The sequence below is a fragment of the Homo sapiens genome, chromosome 4 (assembly GCF_000001405.40).
Source record: "Homo sapiens chromosome 4, GRCh38.p14 Primary Assembly".
Taxonomy (NCBI): Eukaryota; Metazoa; Chordata; class Mammalia; order Primates; family Hominidae; genus Homo; species Homo sapiens.
In genome coordinates, this window is record NC_000004.12 from 155,285,275 (window position 1) to 155,308,152 (window position 22,878).

Sequence of the window (22,878 nt, forward strand, 5' to 3'; positions counted from 1 at the left end):
GTGGTCAATTTTGGAATAGGTGTGGTGTGGTGCTGAAAAAAATGTATATTCTGTTGATTTGGGGTGGAGAGTTCTGTAGATGTCTATTAGGTCCGCTTGGTGCAGAGCTGAGTTCAATTCCTGGGTATCCTTGTTGACTTTCTGTCTCGTTGATCTGTCTAATGTTGACAGTGGGGTGTTAAAGTCTCCCATTATTAATGTGTGGGAGTCTAAGTCTCTTTGTAGGTCACTCAGGACTTGCTTTATGAATCTGGGTGCTCCTGTATTGGGTGCATATATATTTAGGATAGTTAGCTCCTCTTGTTGAATTGATCCCTTTACCATTATGTAATGGCCTTCTTTGTCTCTTTTGATCTTTGTTGGTCTAAAGTCTGTTTTATCAGAGACTAGGATTGCAACCCCTGCCTTTTTTTGTTTTCCATTTGCTTGGTATAGTTTCAGGTCTTACATGTAAATCTTTAATCATTTTGAGTTGATTTTTGTATATCATGAGAGATAGGAGTCCAATTTCATTCCTCTGTATATGGACATCCAATTTTCCCAGCACCATTTATCAAAGAGAGTGTTCTTTCCCCAGTGTATGTTCCTAATGTCTTTGTCAAAAATCAATTGGCTGTAAATATGTGGATTTGTTTCTAGTTTCTCTATTCTGTTCCATTTGTCTGTGTCTATTTTTATATCAATATCATACTGTTTTGTTTATTATAGTCTTACAATGAAAATGTATTTTGCATTCAGTTAGTGTAATACCTCCAGCATTGCCCTGTTTGCTCAGAATTTGACTATTCAGGATCTTTTTTGGTTCCATACAAATTTTAGGATTTTTTTTCTATTTCTGTGAAAAATGACATTTGTTATTTTGGTATAGACTGAATTGAATATGTAGATTGCTTTGGGAAGTATGTTTATTTTAATCATATTAATTCTTCCACTTCATGAGCATGGGATGACATTCCATTTGTGTCCTTTTCAACTTCTTTCATCAGTGTTTTATGGTTTTTACCTTATAGAGATTTTTTATCTCCTTGGTGAAATTGATCCCTTTTTTTTGTAGCTATTGTAAATGGGATTGCTCTCTTGTTTCAGCTGTTTCATTTCTATGATATAGAAATGCTATTCATTTTTGTAGGTTGATTTGGTATCTTGCAACTTTACTGAAGCAATTCCTGGTCCTAAGGACAAGAAATTTTTGTTGTTGGACAAGGAAGAGGAAAAACAAGAGAAACAAATTGAACACAAACTTTTTTTCTACCTGTTGGCAGCATTTATAACACAAATACTCCGTAATTAAAATAATTTTATTTTTACTATAAAAAATATTAATAATCTTTTCTGAGCCATATTCTTAGAGAATAAAGGTAACATTGGGGAGTGTTGAATATAATGTTTAGTTATGAGCAAATATTCATTATTTTTCTCAATACTGATATTGCTATACTTTGGCAGAGGGGGAAAATATGAGTGAAACTCTGGAGTACAGAGACTTAGGCATGAATGCTAATTTTAGACATTTTCCCAACTTCTGAGGTACCTTTTGTGAATTTAAAGAGCCAGAGAGTATAGAGGTAAACAGAATAGGTATGCACTGAAATTTCAACTGAATACTTAGGTTTCCATTTGGCTTTAGAAATAAAGTATATACTTTGGTGGCCGATAGGTATATACAAATGATCCAGTTTATGGACCACCATGTATGAACAGTTTGAAATAATAGGCAAATTTTTACTTTGTTTGTTTTCTTTAAAGGCCTAAGCTTCCAAAGTAAACATTTTCCTACCTTGACTCTGCTTCTTTTCTGCCAAACTTTAAAGTCACTCCTCAAAATCAAAGGTTAATTCTGGATAACAGCAGCAAAACATTGTCTATACAAAAAACGAAGAGAAATGAAAATTTTAATGGAAAAGACTATCATAATATAAAATATCCTATTTTAGAATACAATTAGCAAAATATACATATTAATAGTACACACCTTGGGATTGGTGCTTTGCCTATTAAAAAATGGCAAACTCCTCTAATTCTACTGCTAGTAGACTATTCTTCCCATCTGTGAATAATGGTATTTTCCAAATGTCAGTATAAGGAAACTTACACAGAAAAAACTCCGTATTGTAGATAGCAGTTTTCCACTAGATGAAAAATATCTATTTTCCTGTCTCTTAGAATACACCATCTGTATTTGTCAAACTTTCTGAACATTGCAGGAATCTGGGCTGTGTACCTGTTCAGCTTTCTCCTAGTGACTGACAATCAGTGACATGTGGAGAGGGAAGGAGCTTTCTAACTTCTGTGAGATTGTGAGTTTTCCAAGTGGGGCATAGGACACAACTCAGTAGAGTTAAAGTATCAGTTTTTCAACACAAATGATCCAATTTATGGACTGTCCACACCTCTTTCTTTTCATTTGCATTGACCTTCTGCCTTTGTAGTGCTTTTTCAAAACTATATCAGATGGTGAGAGAATCAATAAAAATAAATAAATAAAATAAGAAAAATGAATGCTTAAGGTTTTTACCTATGGTGCTTCTAAGCAAATATAATTTTAATTTCTGTGTACAAATGGAAACAGATATATAGCTCTACGTATGATTCAATTAGGTATAATAATTTAAATTTATTGAACTTGCAATAACAAAAGTGTAGCTTTAATTCTGAAATGGATGTGAGGGGGAAACGAAAGGGATGGCAAAGCTGAGGAGGTATGGAGGGATAATGTATTTCATTTTTTGAGCAAAATTTCTGATGGAGTGTTGCTAAAATTCTCCACTAGGCAAAAAGCAGGTGCTGTGCACTGTATCACAGTGGCCCCTTGACTTAAGATGCAGGCCTACAGGCCAATCTTATCAGCATTAGGTATATCACAGAAGTATCTGTTCAAAGGAAATGGCCCATATTCCAAGGAATTTATGAGCCCTAATGTCACAGAACAGGCCCAGTGCCCTTGGCTAATATGAGTAACAGAACTTTTGGAATGGAAGAAAATTCCATTTTCCAGTGAGCGAACAGAAACCTAGAAAAGGCAAATTTATGGTTCACAGCTCTCTAACTGCTTCTGTTAGAACTGAGACCTGGTTGCCTCTCCAGAGCTGTTTGTGGATGCTCTCACAGCAAAATTCTAGATGTCAAAATCATATTTAATAACCATGATATGATATTTAAAATCAATTAATAATATAAATATTATATATTTAATATACATATGATGATATGCATATTTTACCTCTGGTCTTTCTCTTCCAAACCCATAACTCCATTCTAATAGTGAGAAATATATCAAACAATATCAGTTAAGGGACATTCTAAAAAATACCTGACCAGTAATCTTCAAAACTGTCAAGGTCACCAAACCAATCAAAGTCTGAAAAACTGCTATAGCCAAGATGAGTGTAAGAAGTCATGATAACTAAAAGCATTATGGTATCCTAGATGGGATTCTGAGGCAGACGTGGGACATTGGATAAACACTAAATAAATCTGAATAAAGTATGGATTTCAGTTAAGAATAATATGTCAATATTAGTTCATTAATTGAGACAAATGCATTATAATTATGTAATGTGCTAATAATAAGAGAAGCTGAGTATGGGGTATATGAGAGTTCTCTATCAAACACCAAAAGCTGGTGAGGATATAGAGCAACAAGAACTTGCATTCATTGCTAGTGGAAATGAGAAAAAGCTCAGCCACTTTGTAAGAGAGTTTCATAGTTTCTTACAAAATTAAACATACTCTCACCTCACAATCCAGCAATTGTGCTGCTTAGTATCTACTTAAAGGAGATACTAAGTAGTATCCACACAAAACCCTGCACATAAAACTTACATCCACACAAAACCCTGCACACAGATGGTTATTATTATGAGTAATGAGTAGCTTCATTTGTAATTGCCAGAACTTAGAAGCAAACAAGATATTGCTTAGTAGGCAAATTGACAAATAAACTTTGGTACATCCAAACAATGGAATATTATTCAGCACTAAAAAGAAATTAGCTATCAAGTTATGAAAATGCAAGAAGGAAACTTAAGTACATATTATTAAGTGAAACAAGACAATCTAAATTGGCTATGTACTGTATGATTCCAACTATATAACATTCTTGAAAAGTCAAAACTATAAAGATTTTAAAAATCAGGGGTTTCTAGGAGTTAGGGGACAGGGAGAGATGAATAGGTGAAATGGAGAAGAATTTTAGGGATCTAAATATACTCTATATTATATTATAATGGTAGATAAATTTTATTATGCAATTGTCTGAGCCCATAGAATATACAACATCAAAAGTAAACCCCAGTGTAAACTACAGACTCTGAATAATAATTATATGTCAATGTAGGTTTATATATTGTAACAAATGTACTAATATGGTGAGGGATTTCAATAGGGTGGAGGCTGTACATGTGTGGGGGCAGGTGGTGTATGAAATATCTCTATACCTTCCTTTCAGTTTTGCTGTAAACCCAAAACTGCTCTAAAAAATACATTCTTTTTTCTTCAAATCACTATTAAAATCATCTTCATTTATGACAAGTATGTACGACTTAGTTAAGCAGGAATTTGAATCATTGCTTATGAGTACAGTTATGATTGCCTATTGGCTTTATAGGAAAATTATAACCAAAGCTAATTTTCCATTTCTGAGGTTACTACAATCCAATGTTTATGTGAAATAATGATCTATTGGACCAAGATTCTGGAAATTTTTACTTTTACCTGGTTATAAACTCATGTATTTTAGAGACAATTGCAATGTGAAATAGCAAGATAAATTTTCCAGAAAAGAAATATTTCCATTTTGAGCTGATTCATCTTCATAATTTTGACTTTCTAATTAATGTATTCCAATTACTTGCTAACTCTTTTATATGAATCATTTATTGTCTAGTTATGGAAAGATTGCAGATTATTGAAAGGACAAAAAATTATAAAATTATATTGAATCACAGAAAATATATCCTACTTACTGGTTTATCCTGACCAAAAAAAAAAGTTCATGATTACACGTTGCTTTAATTGCACATTTTTAAATTCTAAATTCACATGCAGTTGTTAAAAAAAAAAAATACAGAGAAATTTGTATACCCTTCAGTTTCTCCCAAGGGTAGCATCTTGCATAACTATAGTACAGAATTACGACCAGGAAAATGACAATGCCATCCATTAACCTTATTTGATTTCACTAGTTCTACATGCACTAATTTGCATGTGTTTGTGTGCTTCATTCCATTTTATTTTTGTCACAGGTATAGATTTATTTAACAACCATCACCGTCAAGACACATAACAGTTCCATCAGCACAAGAATCCTATGACAGTTACACACTCTTCTATCTGTTCCTTTCTCCCTTTCTCAGTCCCTAGCAGTAATAATATATTTTCTATCTCTATAATTTTATCATTTCAAGAATGTTCCACAAATGAAACCTCATAGTATGCATAAGCTTTTGAGAGTACCTATTTTCAGATAGCATAATCCCCTTGAGATCCATTCAAGTGGTTGTATGTGCCACTTGTTTGTTCTTTTTTGTTGCTGAGTAGTAATCCATAATGTGAATGTTTTTCAATAATTCACCCACTGAAGTCTATCTACATTGTTTCCAGTTGGGGGCTACTATGAATAAAGTTTCTACAAATGCGTGTACCTGTTTTTGTGTGAACATAAATTTTCATTTATTTGGGATAAATGTACAGGGTCAAATTGCTGGGTCATGTGTAAGTGCAGATTTAATTTTCTAAGAAATTATAAAACTATTTTCTAGAGTGTTTACATTACTTTACATTCTCATCAGCAATAAATGAGTGGTCTAGTTTCTTTGCATTCTAACCAGCATTTGACATTATCACTATTTTTTGAACCATTTTAATAAGTGTGTAGGGATGTCTACTAAGTGTGGTTTTAAACGTTAATTTCCCTCATGGCTAATCATCTTTTCATGTGCTTGTTTACCATTTGTATTTTTTTTTCAGAGAAATACCTATTTATGTCTTTTGCCTACTTTCAAACTGGAGTACTTGGTGGTGGTGGTGTTGTTTCATGTTGGATTTTGAGAGTTTTTATATATTTTAGATACAAGGCTTTTGTCGGGTATGTGATTTTCAAATATTTTGACCCCATATGTAGCTTGTGTTTTCATCCTCCTGACATGATCTTTCACAGAGGATAAGTTGTTTATTTTTATTTCTATTTTGAAGAGGTCTATTTTGTCTTTATTTCCTTTTATGAATCTTTTTTTTCTTGGGTGTCAAAACTGATACCTTTTCTCCTAGTCCTAAGTCTCAAATATTTTCACTCATTTTTTTTTCTAAAAGTTTGAATTTGAAGTTCATCTTCTATCTTTAAAGGGTGTACAGTTTGGTTGAGGTTCATATTTTTGCCCATGGATGTCCAATTTCTCCAGCAATGGATATTGAAAAGACTACATTTTCTTCACTGAATTGTTTTGTACCTTTGTCAAAATTAGTTGAGAATATTTGTGTGGGTCTATATGTTCCATTGATCTATGTGTCTGTCCCTCTGTCCCTCTGCTAACACCATACTGTCTTGATTCTTGGCATACATGGCTTTTTTTTTTTTTTTTCAAATAGTTTTTACCTTTAAAACAAAGAGAACAATTCACGACACCCTCTTATCTATCTATGTTGGTTGGTTAGGGACAAAAAGGAAGAAATGAATCATTTAAAATGTAGAGGGTATTTAGCAGATTTTGTTTCCAATTAGAAACGGATTGAGATTCATGGCTTTGGGAATGATTTCTCTATTGCTTTCTCTCTCTTTGGTGTTCTTGTTTATCCACAATGTGTTATATTCTCCATTTTATAGATGAGAAAATTAAAGTTCTTTGAGGTTCCCACAGAATATGGTAGGACCAACATCATGCTTGGAAGCCAATTCAGCTTGTTTCCAGAGTTTGAAATTTTATCCACTATGTTATACTGCTCATGACATCTCAGAGTCCAGTGCCCCTCAGACCAACATCTCTTACATATATATGGGAGATTTTTGAAAGTCTACATCAGTGTCTACTGGTAATGGTACAAAAGGATCATCAGGTGGAAAATAGTCTTATTTAATTACAAAATACTCATTGAGTACCTATAGACCATGCCCTTGACCTAATGGAGCTTACATTTTATGGGAAAAGCAAACAAACACACAAGCAAGCAAGTCTCTCTATATATTTACATTTATATTTTTATATGTATTCCCCAAATCTCCTACCCACAGTTCTACAATTCAAGAAGTTCTGAAAACCAAAGATTCTTTTATAACTTATTTGTTGGCAAAAACTTGTCTTGAACTGACATAAAGCTATCTATAGTCTTTATTTATCCCACTTAAAATTAATTACTAGTAATGAATTTTATTGTAAATCAGTGGCTGAGGCCAAGTGTGTTGGGGGAAGGGGTTACATAATATACAGTAAATGTCCTATATTATCTTTCTAAAATTTGGGAGGAAAATGTCTTATTCTGGAAGCACATTTATTCTCAAAGGGTTGGGATAAAGGAATGTAAATTTATATTACTAAATGCAGGAAGAATAGGTGCTACATTGAAAAATAGAGTAATGAAGGAGAATACTGTTTGAGATAGGGCAACAGAGAAGGCCTGTCTGAGGATGTGTCACCTTAGAGACATGCAGAGGAGAGCTATGGAGAAGGAGCATCCCAGGTAAAGAAAAAAAAATAAAACAGATGTAAAGACACCTAGACAAGAATATCATGCTCGGGGAGTTAGAAACAGCAAGAACACTGAGCCTGGAGTGGAGTGAACATGGTAGAGGGCAGTAGGAGGTAGATTTGGACTTTCAGTCAGACCATATCACCTTAGTCAAAGAGCAAAATTATCCAGGTGTTTTCCCTTTTGTTCACTGTAAACAAAAAATATCTGAGACAAGTCTCAATCAGTTTAGAAGTTTATTTTGCCAAAGTTAAGGACATCCTTCTGACACATCCTCAGGAGGTCCTGAGACCATGTGCCCAGGGTGCTGGTTTTATATGTTTTAGGGAGACATAAGACATTCATCAATGCATATAAGATGTACATTGGTTTTGTCCAGAAAGGTGGGACAACTCAAAGCAAAGGGGATCGGAGTTCCAGGTCATAGGTGGATTCAAAGATTTTCTCATTTGCAATTGGTTTAAAGAGTTTATTTAAAGACTTAGAATCAATAGAAGGGACTGTCTGGGTTAAGATAAGGGATGGTAGAGACCAAGGTTCTTATTAGGCAGATGAAGCCTCCAAGTAGCAGGCTTCAGAGAGAATAGATTGTAAAACTTTATTATCAGACTTATCAAGTGCCAGACTCTTAGTTAATTCTCTCCTGAATCAGGAAAAAGACCTGGAAAGGAAAAGGAATTCTCTACAGATTGTAGATTTTCCCCTGTAAGAGACAGCTTTGCAGGGCCATTTTCAAAATATGTTGAAAAAATATATATACTTTGGGGTAAAATGCTTTTCTTTCCTTCAGGGCCTGCTGTTTGTCATGTTGGTATCATATTGCTACAAACAGTCTGCTTTGTCAGTCATAAGGTCTCTGTTTTAATGTTAAGGCTGGTCAATTGTGACTAAATTCCAAAGGGAGGAGGGTATAATGAGGCGTGTATGACTCCCCCGTCCCATTATGGCCTGGACTAGTGTTTCAGGTTAAATTTGTAATGCACTTGGCCAAGAGGAGGGCACCATTTAATTGGTTGGGGAGCTTAGGATTTTATGTTTGGTTTACATCATAATTGCTTTTATTCTCTTTAAGTCATTTCTCTGTGTCTCAGTTATAATCTCTAATATGGTTTGAGGCTTGCAAACACCTTGCTATTATTTTTTAGTTATCTGGCACTGACTCAGCTTGTAAAACATCAAGAAGATTCTAAATCTTCCATAAACAAGGCAGTGATAATACTTACATATTGGTACATGAGCTAGAATATATGTAATAACACCTTAATACATTATTTGAAGGCCTTAGGAAAAGAAGGATTATATTCAAATGCAATATTATAATATTTCTAATTTAAGAAACATTCTTAAGATAAAATCAAAGTTATTATTCAAAATTATTGAATTGGCCTTTTTTCTTTTCTCTTTATTAAATCATTTTGGAGGCTGCCATCTTAAGAAAGACAGACTTTTGCCAGTTCAATTACACTTGCTGTGTACTGTTCTGTATCAGTTAACCAGCTGCTTTTCATGGGATGCCCAAGTCCTTACTAAAGATGAAGATCTATAGTCACTTATTAAGTGAATTCACATCTGAGAAGGATAAAATGTTATTTAAAACAAAATACAGGTAGATTTAATGTAGAAGGATCAAATTCAATTCTGGAGACAGAATAATCTGTTGACCACAAAGTCTGATCCTCTCTGATATGTCTATAGTTTCTTTATTCTAATGCCAATGTGAGGATTGTCTTCTGTCCCAATGTCATGTGTATTTGCCCCAGCCTAGAGGTAATAATATTGCTTTAATGTGAAAATAAATAAATAAATAAATAAGTAATTACTTCTCTGGTGCTGACACCATCTAACTATAGTAAATTATAAATCCACATCCTTCTGTGACCATCCTGCACCCCCAGTGTTTCCTCAAATTACTTCCAGAACTTTTCAGAGAAGCCTCACATATGGTCACAGGCAAGTCCTTTCAGCCTCCACTGTCTACTGAGTTCTATAGTGCCTGCAAAGCTGGGCTTTGTTGCAGTTTTATCCTCTGAGTGCTCTAAGTTCTGTTCAAAGGAATGGCCTCGGTAAGCTATAGCTGAATCCACTGCTGGAGGTGGTGTCTCCTGCTATGAATAACCCCAGTGCTGACACTCCTGTGCTATGGTGGGCCCATTCCTTCTTGCTATATTTACACATGACCTGTGAAAATGCCTCTTTGAACATCCAACATCTCACAGAGACTTTATGAGTTAACATTTTTTAAGTTTAACTTTGTCACACAGACATTTCTTTCTCTTTTTGACAGAACTCATAGGATTAAAAAAAAAATTGAGTGTATTAATTTGCTAGGGTTGTCATCGCAAAGTATCACAAACTGACTACTTCAAACAATAGAAATTTGTTTGCAGTTCTGGAGGGTAGAAGTCCGAGACCAAGGTGTTAGCAAAGTCAGTTCCTTTTAAAGCCTCTGTCCTCGACTTGTAGAAGGGCTGTCTTCATGTTTACGTGAAGTGCTCTCTCTGTGTGTCTGTGTCTTCTCATAAAAACACCAGTCATACCAGATTAGGGCCCACCCTAATAACCTCATTTAACCTTGAAAGGGTTAACAGCCCACCAAAGTGATATGAAGATTACTTTAACTGAAGAATATCTAAACAATCAGCAGCCACATAAAGAAACATAATCTAAACTTAGCAGAGACTCCCCAAATACAGCTGCCATTGACCCCCTCCAAAGCAGTTTCCTATTAGAGGGCTAAAATGGTTAATTCTACATGGCAATTTAATGGGGCCAAGAGGTGCCCAGATTAAACATTGTTTCTTGGTGTGTCTATGAGGGTGTTTCCAGGTGACATTAGTATTTGAATCAGTGGACTCAGTAGACAGACCTCCCTAAGGTGAGAAAGCATCATCCAATTTATTGAGGGCCTAAATAGAATAAAAGTCAGAGGAAGGAAGATTTTGGCCCCTTTGCTTCTTGCCACATACTTGCTCTGGGACATCAGTCTTCTCCTGCCCTTGGACCAGGATTTACACCATTGGTTTCCCTGGTCTCAGAGCTTCAGACTTGCACTGAAATTACACTGCCAACTTTCCTACTATGTGAGCCAATATTTCATAATAAATCTCTTCATATATGTATATATTATACATAAATATTCATATGTATATATAATTGGTTATCAGTAATATGTCAATATATATTATTGGTTCTGTTTGTCTGGAGAACCCTGATACAGGAGAATACTAGCCCTTGGCAGCAGGAAGTATAAATTACACTGTCATAACACCCCCCCTCCTCTTCAGGCTGAGATTTCAGCCTGGATAAACACTGCCATTTCTATTTGCATCAAAAAGCCAACAGGACTTTCCATACTTCCCCACTGAAACCCTGGACACTGGCCACAGCCACTTACCCTCCTTTTGTTTAGGTAGTATATAGACCTATACCTCTGGCTATTCACCGAGTCATTCATTACTGTGTGTTCCTATATATGTGTGAATTAAACCTGTCTTTTCTCCTTAGTATGTCTGTTAATTCACAGGTTCTGATCACTTGAACTTAAGTTGACAGAAAGATTTTTCTTCCAATAATCTTAATTACCTCTTTAAAGGCCTAATCTCTAAATATACGTTCATGTTCTGAAGGTACTATGGGTTAGGATTTTAATATAGATATTTGGGGACACTATTTAACCCATAACACTGAGCTATAAATTTCTCCAAATCACACCTTCTCTCTGATATTAGAAAATCAGTCTTAGAAAGAGCTTATGTGTCTCATTTCTTTACTCAGAAGGTCTCAAACAATTACGTCAAGCATCCCTTGAAGAAACTAACCTGCTTGCCTACTGGGTATGTCTAGGTGTGTCTGATCCTAGTAGTGAGAGTCAGCAGAATTGAAATTCAAGCTGGGATGTATACTGTGTTCTCTAAACTACCTAATATGAACCAAATGTGTAAAGTGTGGAGTTGAGAAAATATTCCCAAATGGTCAACAATTTAGAGCAACATTCCCTATTTTGCTTCAAGTATCCACACAGAGACACCCAAAAATGAGTCTGGGTGATTATCCTGGGCTCTGAACATTAGATGATGAACAACTGAAGAGAAATAGAAGATCCCACAAATAGAGGTTAAGAGAGGACTATGACATTTCTAACACAGCTGAATCTAGAATAAAAATTAATCAGTTCATGTTCTGCAAGCAGTAGTAGTTCTAGAAGCCTTGACCCCCATTACCTCACATAGCAACCAACTTACAGATAAAGTGCTGATGGGATTTTCAATCACAAAAGATTTGAGAAGAATTCACTGGAGACTGTTTTTCTTAATGAGTCCATTCCTTGCCCAGACCACTTCCCTCACTGGGCTGATACAGTAAGGTGTATTCCTTGGCATCTGATAATTGTCATTAAGTCAGCCTTTTGGGGAGCCATTTATGATAGCTCACAACAAATTTGAGTATTATGTGCTTTTCATGTAGATGCATTTCTTAAATGGAAAAGTCTCAAATGAGCATTGATAGGTTTATTTCAAGCACATTAATTTGGTTATTGCCCTTATGAGGCAGTATTTTTCAACTCTCATATTTATTTTAAAACCTAAAAGCTGTATGTGTTAGTCCATTCTTGCATTGCTATAAGGAAATACCTCAGACTGGGTAATTTATAAAGAACATAGGTTTAATTGGCTCACAGGTTCTGCAGGCTGTACAGAAAGCATGGTGGGGAAGGCCTCAGGAAACTTACAATTATGACAGAAGGCAAAAAAGAAGCAGGCACATCTTACATGGTGAGAGTAGGAGGAAGTGGGTGGCGGGGGGTGGTACCAGACACTTAAAGAATCAGATCTCAGGAGGACTTTATCATAAGAACAGCACCAAAAGGGTAAGTCCCTCCCCATGATCCAAAAACCTTCCACAGCGTCCTACCTCTAACACTGGGGTTTACAATTCAACTGGATATATGGTCAGGGACACAAATCCAAACCATATCATTCTGCCCCTGGCCCCTCCCAAATCTTGTATTCTTCTCACGTTGCAAATTACAATCATGCCTTCCCAGCAATCCCCCAAAATCTTAACTCATTCCAGCATTAACTCAAAAGTTCAAAGTCCAAAGTTTCATCTGAGACAACACAAGTCCCTTCCCCCTGTGAGCCTGTAAAATCAAAACAACTTAGTTACTTCTAAAATACAATGAGAGTACAAGCATTGGGTAAACCCACGAGTTCCAAATGGGAGAAATTGCCCAAAAGAAAGGGATGACAGGCCCCATACAACTTCCAAACCCAGCAGGGAAGTTATGAAATCTTAAAGCTTCAAAATAATTTTTATTAACTCCATGTCCCATATTCTGAGCAGGCTTGCACAAGGGGTGGGCTCTCAAAACCTTGGGCAGCTCTTCCCCTGTGACTTTGCAAGGTTCAGCCTCCACAGGTGATCTCATGGGTTGGCGTTAAGTGCCTATGACTCATTCAGGTGCAGGGTAAAAGCTGCCAGTGGATCTCCCATTCTGAGGTCTGGAGGATGGTAGTCCTCTTCTCACAACTCCACTAGGCAGTACCCAAGTGGGGACTCTGTGTAGGGGCTCCAATCTCATGTTTCCCATCTTCACTGTTCTAGTAGAGGTTCTCTATGAGGGCTCCGTCCCTGCAGCAGGCTTCTGCCTGGATATCCAGGCTTTTTCATATGTCCTCTGAAATCTAGGCAGAGGCTCCCAAGACTCAACTCTTGCACTCTAAGCACCTGCAGGCTTAATACCACATGGATACTGCCAAGGCTTACGGTTTGCATCCTCTGAAGCAGCATCCCAAACTATATCTGGGGACCTTTTAGCCATGGCTGGAGCTGGAGCAGCTGGTATGCAGGAAGTAGTGTCCCCAAGGCTCAAGGCAGCAGGGCTGGTCCTGGCCCATGAAGCCATTCTTCCCTCCTAGGCCTCTGCATCTGTGATGGGCTGGGCTGCCTCCAGGGTCTCTGAAATGCCTTGGAGGCCTTTTTCTCATTGTCTTGGCTATCAGCACTTGGCAACTCCTTACTTATGCAAATTTCTGCAGCCTGCTTGAATTCCTCCTGAGAAAATGGGTTTTTCTTTTCTACCACATGGCCAGGCCACAAATTTTCCAAGCTTTTATGTTCTGCTTCCCTTTTAAATATAAGTTCCAGTTTCAGGTCATTTCTTTCCTCATGCATATGAGCATAGGTTGTTAGAAGTAGGCAGGGCACATCTTGAATGCTTTGCGGCTTAGAAATTTCTTCCACCAGATACCCTAAATCATCACTCTCAAGTTCAAAGTTCCACAGATCTGTAGAGTAGGGGCACAGTAAAGCCAGGCTCTTTATTAATGCATAAAAGCATGACCTTTGCTTCAGTTGCCAGTAAGTTCCTCATTCCATCTGAGACCTTATCAGCCTGGAGTTCAATGTCCATTTTGGTCAAAACCATTCAACAAGTCTCTAGGAAGTTCTAAACTTTTCCTCATCTCCCTGTCTTCCTCTGAGCCCTCCACACTCTTCCAACCTCTGCCCATTACCCAGTTCCAAAGGCGCTTCCACATTTGCAGTTATCTTTATAGCAATGCCCCACTCTTGGTAGTAATATTGTGTATCAGTCTGTTCTCACATTGCTATAAAGAAATACCTGAGACTGGGTAATTTATAAAGAAAAGAGGCTTAATTGGCTCCCGATTCTGCAGGTTGTACAAAAAGCATAGCTGTGGAGGCCTCGGGAAACTTACAATCATGGTGAAAGGTGAAGGGGAAGCAGGCACATCTTACATGGCCAGAGCAGGAGGAAGGCAGGAGAGGTGCCACACACTTTTAAACAACCAGATCTTGTGAGAACTCTATCATGAGAACAGCACCAAAAAGGGAAGTCTGCCCCCATGATCCATACACCTCCCACTACGCCCCATCTCCAACATTGGGGATCACAATTCAACATGAGATTTGGTCAGGAACACAAATTTAAACCATATCACTGTACCCAGCCATCTTCTCAGCCTTATGCCACCCCTGTTAGTTAATATGCCATAAGAAGTCAGAGAAGATTTTTCATATTTCCTAATAACATTTAACTATACTATCCATACTGCTAACAGTGAAAATGTTTTTGATGATAATGAGAAAGTACAAACAAATTATTCTTGTCTCCATTTAAAGCAATTCTTTATATGCTCATAAACTAATTTATTTGAGGCTTTGGTTTACATGGTTCTGTGCTAGCAAGCAGAGATGGTTTAAATTATATTTCTTCAATAAGTCATCTAACACTTTTTAAAGCTTTAATATAGAATGTCTAGTGCTATAGTGTAGATGACTGTTAATTTGTGTCTCTTCATAAATAATGTGAAAGTATTTAACTTTGGAAAGAGAAGACTATAAGAAACTGATTTAAGGAACAGTATGAGTTTCTGTATTACAAATATTTAGATATTCTTAAGAATATTTGTAGATTCCCATATGTTTATATGAGAACAAGACCCAGGTCCATTTCTTTTATTATTCTTATCTTTTTTTTTGCCAGAGGTGCATGACAAATAATAAATGTTTAAGAATCAGTTGTGAATGATGAATGAAGATAATATCACATACTTGAACATGGGATCGAGGAGATGGCCAAGTTAATAGTTGACACAATGCTCAGCCTAATGGTAGGCCCTGTGCATAACACAAAAGATGTCCAAAGTGTGGTCTCTGTTCATGCAGACTTCTAAAGGTCTATGCTTTAATATCCAAATATTTTAATTCATTTGCTAATCATTAGACAGTTAATATAGGCAATAAAAAGATTGTAACAACAAGAGTAAGAAGGAAAAGAATCAGCCAGGTATTTACTGAACACTTCATACATGCCAGTCATTGTTCTAAGCCATTAATTTGTCTTATTATTTGCAATGATCCTGAGGTAAGTAGCATTATTGTTCCCATCTTGTAGATGTGTAAAATAAAGTAGTTTTTCTCCTCAAGATGTATGGAATAAAATATAAGTTAAGTTCAAAGTAGAAGGTATTATTTTATCAAAATCTACAAATTATATTAGTTTAGTAATAAATATATATTACCAATTACATTAACAACTTTGCCCGGGTTTTTTTTTGTTTTGTTTTGTTTTTCTTTGAGACAGAGTCTTACTCTGTCACCCAGGCTGGAGTGCAGTGGTGCAATCTCAGCTGACTGCAACCTCCACCTCCCAGGTTCAAGCGATTCTCCTGCCTCAGCATCCCAAGTATCTGGGATTACAAGCGCCTGCCACAACATCTGGCTAATTTTCATGTTTTTAATATAAACGTAGTATTTTTAATTTCACCATGTTGGCCAGACTGATCTCAAACTCCTGACCTCAGATGATCCGCCCGCCTTGGCTTCCCAAAGTGCTGAGATTACAGGCTTAAGCCACTGCACCTGGCCCAACCTTGCCAGTTTTCAAACAAATATTTCTAATATAGAAAAACACTTTGTAACTATCTGAGATTTGGATAGTCATCTTATTTACAGTGTACAAAGTTTTACAAAATTATTAACATTCACAGAAAAAAATAAAACCAAATACAGAAAACCTAAAACTATTACCATGTGCAGAACTAATGGAATCAAAATTAATTTCTATCTATGAGAACAGAAAAAAAATGCAGCATACAATAATGTGTTTATCCTAAGAATACTATGAAATTCTTTCAAAAGTAATATCGTAATGAAGAGATGCCTTTTTAGTCTCTTACTGATAATTAATTTTCTGTTAATATTTAGTGTTACACACCCTGGAGCCACAACTTAATTCACATATAAAATCCAATTGTGAAATTCTAAACATTGAGAAAGAATCTTTAATTTTGTTAAAACTGAAAGAAAATGGGAAAGATATTTCTAGTACCACTATAATCTTGATAAAGCAACCTTAAAAATGTTGAAAACACAAAAATATTAGATTCTATTCCCAATAAAATCAATGCTGCTAATTATTTTTTCATTCATGTATCCATTTAACAAATGATTATTTAGTGCTTACTATGTGTTAGACATGGAGTTAGGCATTTTTTAGCGAAAATTGATATGAATTCAATTTCTAATTATGTGAATAATTAAGAAAAATCAAAGTATAGAATTTTTAAATGACTTGAGATTATATTATTTCTTAATTTATTCTTCATTATTTTTTGTGTGCCCACTTAACAGAGATACATTTTAAAATATAAAGTCACTTTCTTGCTATTAAAAAGATTGAAATCATGGCAAGAAGAAATTTTATCCGGCCTTGCATACAACATTGAAGATTAGTCTATGATGATTTAGATACACCACACTGCCCTAGTAGATGTAATGAAGTCATTAATTAAATTGTGTAAAGAATCTAGAAGATAAAGCTCAGCATCACTAGTCATAAAAGAAATAAAATTGATAACAATAGTTATCTTCACCTGCCAAACACTAGAGAATTAGAAATGTTGGAACAACTAAGAATATGGAGACACAGGCATGGTAATAAAAAGTGCTGGTGGGCATACAATCTACTTACCAGATTTTTTTTTGCAGCAAGTAGTCATGTGACAAATTCTGGCCGATAAGATATAAACAGAAGTATTGTATATGACTTCCAGGAAAATTCTGACATCTTGTATTATTAATGTTAGTAACCATTTAAGATATCAAAAGAGGTTTTGCAGAATAAAGAGACAATTAAAAGAAAATGGTTTAAAAGCACAGAATTTTCTGTAATACAAATAGCTGGAGAATCAAAAATATTTATATTTGTTTATATAAGACAAAAATGAAGTATGTGCATTTTCTGTGCTGTTTTCTTTGTTAAAAAATATAAATGTTCTCCAATAGCATTATGTTTCTAATGACTAATACAAAATGATGGAACACCCCAACACTGATATTTGATGGATACAATCTCAAGTCTACTTTTTGGGAATACAGGACCTATGCCAAGAGTTCTCAGCCCCTAACTGCCTAAGAACACTGGGAACAGGGCAAGGAAATTCTGAGTTCCTTAAGATTCAAATTACAGCAAAGCTTACCTCAAGTGGTTTAAGCAGTAAGAACACACGCTATTTTGTACAACAAAAACTCTGGAGGCAGATGGTTCCAACGTAGGTTAAATTAATAGCCCAAAAAAGTCAAAAGTTCTAGCTCAAAGTCTTGTGATCCTCTGAGCTTTTCCCTCATGCTCTGAAGATGGCTGCAGCTTCTCTGATCATCAGGGCCTCACATAGTAATCTCCAAAGGCAGATTAAAAATGAAACACTATTCACCCAGATGTTTATAACAGCTTCATTTATAATTGCCAAAACTTGAAAGTAAACAAGATGTCCTTTGGTAAGTGAATGAAAAAATAAACTATGGTATATCCAAGCAATGAATTATTATTCATTACTAAAAATAAGTGAGCTATCAAACCATGAAAATACATGAAGGAAACTTAAATTAACACTCTTAAGTTACTGAAGCCAATCTGAAAAGGCTACAAACTATACGATTCCAACTATATGACATTCTTGAAAAGACAAAACTGTGGAGTTAGTAAAGAGATCTGTGGTTGCCAAGGGTTAGGGGGCAAAGAGAGATGAACAGGAGGAGCACAAAAGATTTTGGAGCAGTAAAAATACTCTGTATGGTACTATAGTGGTGGATAAAGTCATTATAGATTTGTCCAAACCCAAAGAACGTACAACACCAACAGTGTACCCTAACGTATCCTATGGACTCTGGGTGATAATGATGTGCCAGCGTAGGCTCATCAGTTACAGCAAATGTATCATTCTGGTGGGGGATGCTGATAACGGGGGAGGATGTGTACGTGTGGGGGCAGGGCTATATGAAAAATATCTGTATCTCCAATTTTGCTGTGAGCCTAAAACTTTTCTAAAAGAAAAAGTTTTTAGGGAAAAAAAAAGCATTCTTTATTTTCAAAGAAAAGCAACCATAAATAATGATGGAAACATGAAAAATTATATTTTAGGTAGGTACTATCTCTGAGACAGACTAATATCTTCATGAATGTTTACTAACAGTGACATTTTATTTTTAAAACTTCAATTTTTACTTTTAAATAAAAATTATTAAATTATTAACATAAAATTATAAATTATTAAATTGAAAATATTTTTAAATTTTTAAAATTAATTTTTGGTTTTTAAAATTAAATTGTATTAATCAAAAACTACTTGTACATATTAAATAAAATTGAACATGTATATCATTAATCTCACAACTCAATAAGACTCTCCTTTTTGTTAATAACAGTAGTATGGTTATCACTTAGTAAGTTCCAGCCAAATGCCATTTTCTTTGTATATAATAAAGTTATATCATTAGTATATTTATGTCACCTCCAGTCAAATTTTAGCTAAGACTAAATGACATTATGTTCCAGGAACTTTCCTAAGTACTTTACATATATTTACTTAATCCTGTCAATTTCTTGTGAAGTTGGTATTATTAGTATCCCTATAAATATTAATGATTACAGGGTGGTCTTAGTAGCACCAAGCCTCATATCCTCCCAGAAAAAGTGCAAAGCATGGAAGAAAGGAGAGGCTTCTTGTGAAAAGTTCCTGGAAGTCTTCTCTTCAGTTCCTATGAGCTAGCAGTGGAGCTGGTGCAAGGAGAGCTGAGAAAGCCAGGGTGTGGGAGGCGGGCTCTGCCAATAAGGAAGTGGGAGAAGAGGAACACCCTTAGGGAAAGTACAACCAGATCAGTAGCTACTGCTTCATAACAAACCACTCCCAAAACAGTTATTTAAAACCGTGCATTATTTCTAAAGGTGCCATGGGTCACCTGACCTTGGTCAGGTTCTGGTATCTTGGCTGGGATCACTAGTGCATTTGTATTCCATTGCTGGATCAGTTCTTGTAAACCTAGTAGAGAACTACTGGTAGTCCTGGAACAATCTCCTTTGAAGCATTTCTCTTTATTCTTCTTTTTCCATTTTCATCCCTTGGTGCTAGAGCCAGATATTGAGGTCACTATTTCACTATGAGGTTCAGAATCCTGACTACCTCATAGTAGCAATTCTGGGTGAAGTACATATTAAAGAGGAAGCACATCTTTAGTTTCCAGTAACTGGCATTTGGTTATGGGGTGGCTGTTTTTCTACGTGGACCAAGCAGGGTCCCAGTTCAAGTTTCTGCTGCCTATCTGATAATCTTGAGGTATTTATGAAGGACTCCTTTGAAAGTTCTCTACTGAGTTTCCTTAAGGAATTGGAATATGTAAGTAAATTACTGTCCAGAATGGAGGAAAACTATACTAATCACAATGAATAGACCATATATTCCTTATGAAATTCATATCATTTGAAGGAAAATTAGGTTAGTAACTCTACCACATAATGTGTTTGCTTATGGAATTTTTTACTCACTTCTTCAGTCCATTGTATTTGCCATGCTTTAGAACATGGTCATGGATCTTATTGGGGTTATCCTCATCTTTATTCCTGAGCAGTCTCTACCTTTGGTGGCACTGCTTATATTATATTGATATAGTTTTGATTAAGTTTTACCACTGATACGGCTCCAGTGAGTAGAGGAACACCAGGACTCTTGTCTCGTGTGGATTAGCTAAAACAACACGGACACACGTGGAGTGGCTTTAAGGAGTGGAGAGTTTAATAGGCAAGAAAGAAAAGAGAAGGCAGAAGGAAGAGGCTAGCCTTACAGAGACAGAAGGAAGGGGGCTCCAAAGCTGAAAGAGGAAACCCCAAGTGCCACAGATACCAGCCAGTAGGCTGGAGAAGGCAGTGTTTGATTTGCATAGAGCTCAGGGGATTGGTTTGACCAGGCATGTCATTCATGGAGCCCGTGGAAAACGTTGGCCCTCCCACCCCAGCGTTTTAATATGCAAATGCAGGGTGCCATGATATTCTACACACGTGGGGATATGTGGAGGCGGCCACATTGCCCAGAATATGTGGGGCAGGGGCAAGGGCCAGAAGGCCGAGGGAATGCCATGTTTGGGTGGACCCAGTTTCTAATGGCCTGCATTTGCATATCAAAGATTGCTGGCCTGGCTCTAAGAGCTGTTTTAAAAATGAAAACTTTTCAAGGACCCGTTTTCCTCTCCATCTGCCTGAAATAATTACTTAATAACTCCTACAGCACCACTAGGCATGGAAATAATTTGGAGGTGGAGACATTGGCAAATTCGTATACATTCAGTTAACTTCCCTTCCTTGTAGATATGAGAAAACTGACCCTTGAAAAATGAAGAAAGAAAAGTGACTTTCTAAGATTGAACAGCCAAACGATGAGAGTCCAATCCCTTTGGACCTGTTTTCTCACCTGTAAAATAGGTGGGACCATATCCTAGGAACATCCTGTCTTTGGCAAACAGTACAAAAGGAGAATTTGATAAACAAACACATTTATCTTCATGAATACCCAATCCTACTGGTATTTACACTCTGGACATATACTTCAGTCTGGGGAGAAGAGAAGGACACTGTAGAGATACTCAATCTAACAGGAAAGAGAAGTAAAAGTCTTATAACTTGTATGAGTTAATTTTTATCAAGAGTGAAGAAATGATTTATGTCGGGAGAGGTGGGAGTTTGGTGGGGAGTGAGGATATTGCAGCCACGAGAAGCTTGCTCTTGGATATATGCTGTTCTGATTGGAAATTGTATTTTATCCATGTAGTAGCCATCCCTAGTAACTGCTTACCTACTTTAGGACTTTTAGTGAACAGAACCTGATTAAAATATACCCTCCTATATAGCCTCATATTATCTTTATAATAAATTGCCATTGAAAACTACTCAGAAGATAGTTAATGTATTTTTAAAAATACATTTTAAAAACATTTTAAAAAACATTTAAAAAAACATTTTAAAAAAGTATTTGGGAATCTGGATGAAGTTTTAGTTTTAAATGTAATATCTTCTGAGAAAAGATAACTGATTCTTGGTCATCGTTTCAGTGATCTGAAAGAATCAATGCTCTTGTATTCAGCCAACAGGAGGCAAATTGTGAATCCAAATCATAGACTATAAAAACAAGCAAGGACCTTAAAAAGTATCCAGGCTCAAACCCCTGCTTTTAATGATAGGAAAGTAGGCTCAGAGAAGAGCATAATATGCAGGAATAATTTCACGGATTGCTGTTGTTTGCTTCTTTTTCATTTATTAACCTATTGAATACTTGCTGTGTCTCAGCATTGTTGGCTGACAGAGATATAATCATAAACAAAACCCCAGAATAGCACAAAAGCATGTTCGCAATGCCTTCCTGACTTCTTCCAGGCTTATATTCCCCTCTTCCCCAGGCTCTCAGCCTCACCGAAAACCTCAGACACATCCTGTTCTTTCCAACCTCTCTTTCTTTGTTCATGTTGCTGGTCCTTTCGTAATAGTTGATTACAATCGTTAATACAAGTACATGGTAGAAAAATCCCAGAGGTATAAAAGGACAAATAAAATGAAAATCACATCTCTGTTTTGTCTGTGTTTCCCAGTCACTCAATTCCTCTTCCCAGAGATAACCACTGTTTCTAATTATGTATTGTCATGGAGTTAGTTAATGGATACGTAAATATATATGCATGTATAATTGGTAGTCATTTTCTGTCACCAAATGTTAACACGTTCTGCATGTTGTTCAGTACCTTATATTTTTGAGCTTAAATGTGTGTGTTTTCTTCTAAATTTGATAGTAAATTTTTTAGATTAATAAGGTCTCTCTTCACCTGGGCTTTGGTATACTAAGATGATCTTTAACTTAACCTGGGTCGTCTCTTAAATTATATTCTTTATATTATATATAAATTATATTCTTTAATTCAATTTAATTCAGTTACTTTAATTCTTTAATTCAATTACTAATTCAGTATATTCAATTAATTCATCTTGTCATTCAAAGTCTTCAGAGCCTGTTTACCTGCAATCTGTAACCTGATTTCATGCCACTGTCTAACTCACACCTTCATATCACTCAGCCCATTTCCTTATTTCCCCTTGAACGCCGATGCATATTCCTGCTTCTGAGACTCCGCTAGTTGTGTTTCTCACAGCATTCCCTTCTCTCTGATTACAACATTCTTTGAGACTTAATCCTCACCTCCTCCATGAAGCCTTCACAGCTGTTCCCACCCACATTTGTCTCTTCCTCTTTCATATTCCTGTTCCATTTTGATATAATCACATACTATCCTTTATTTCAGCTCAGTGGGACTCAGTCATTACTCAGAGTGTTATAAACTATATTTTCCTGGCAAGTT

At 36.0% G+C, this 22,878-nt stretch overlaps 1 long non-coding RNA gene across 1 annotated transcript; it reads right to left on the bottom strand.

The window, feature by feature from the left end:
- Window positions 1-700: 700 nt before the first annotated feature.
- LOC105377502 (uncharacterized) lies at window positions 701-19,544 on the bottom strand. The gene is made up of 3 exons (NR_188465.1): window positions 19,449-19,544; window positions 1,778-1,862; window positions 701-1,172 (listed from the first exon to the last, which is right to left on the bottom strand). It is a non-coding gene; the product is annotated as an uncharacterized LOC105377502 (long non-coding RNA).
- Window positions 19,545-22,878: the final 3,334 nt, after the last annotated feature.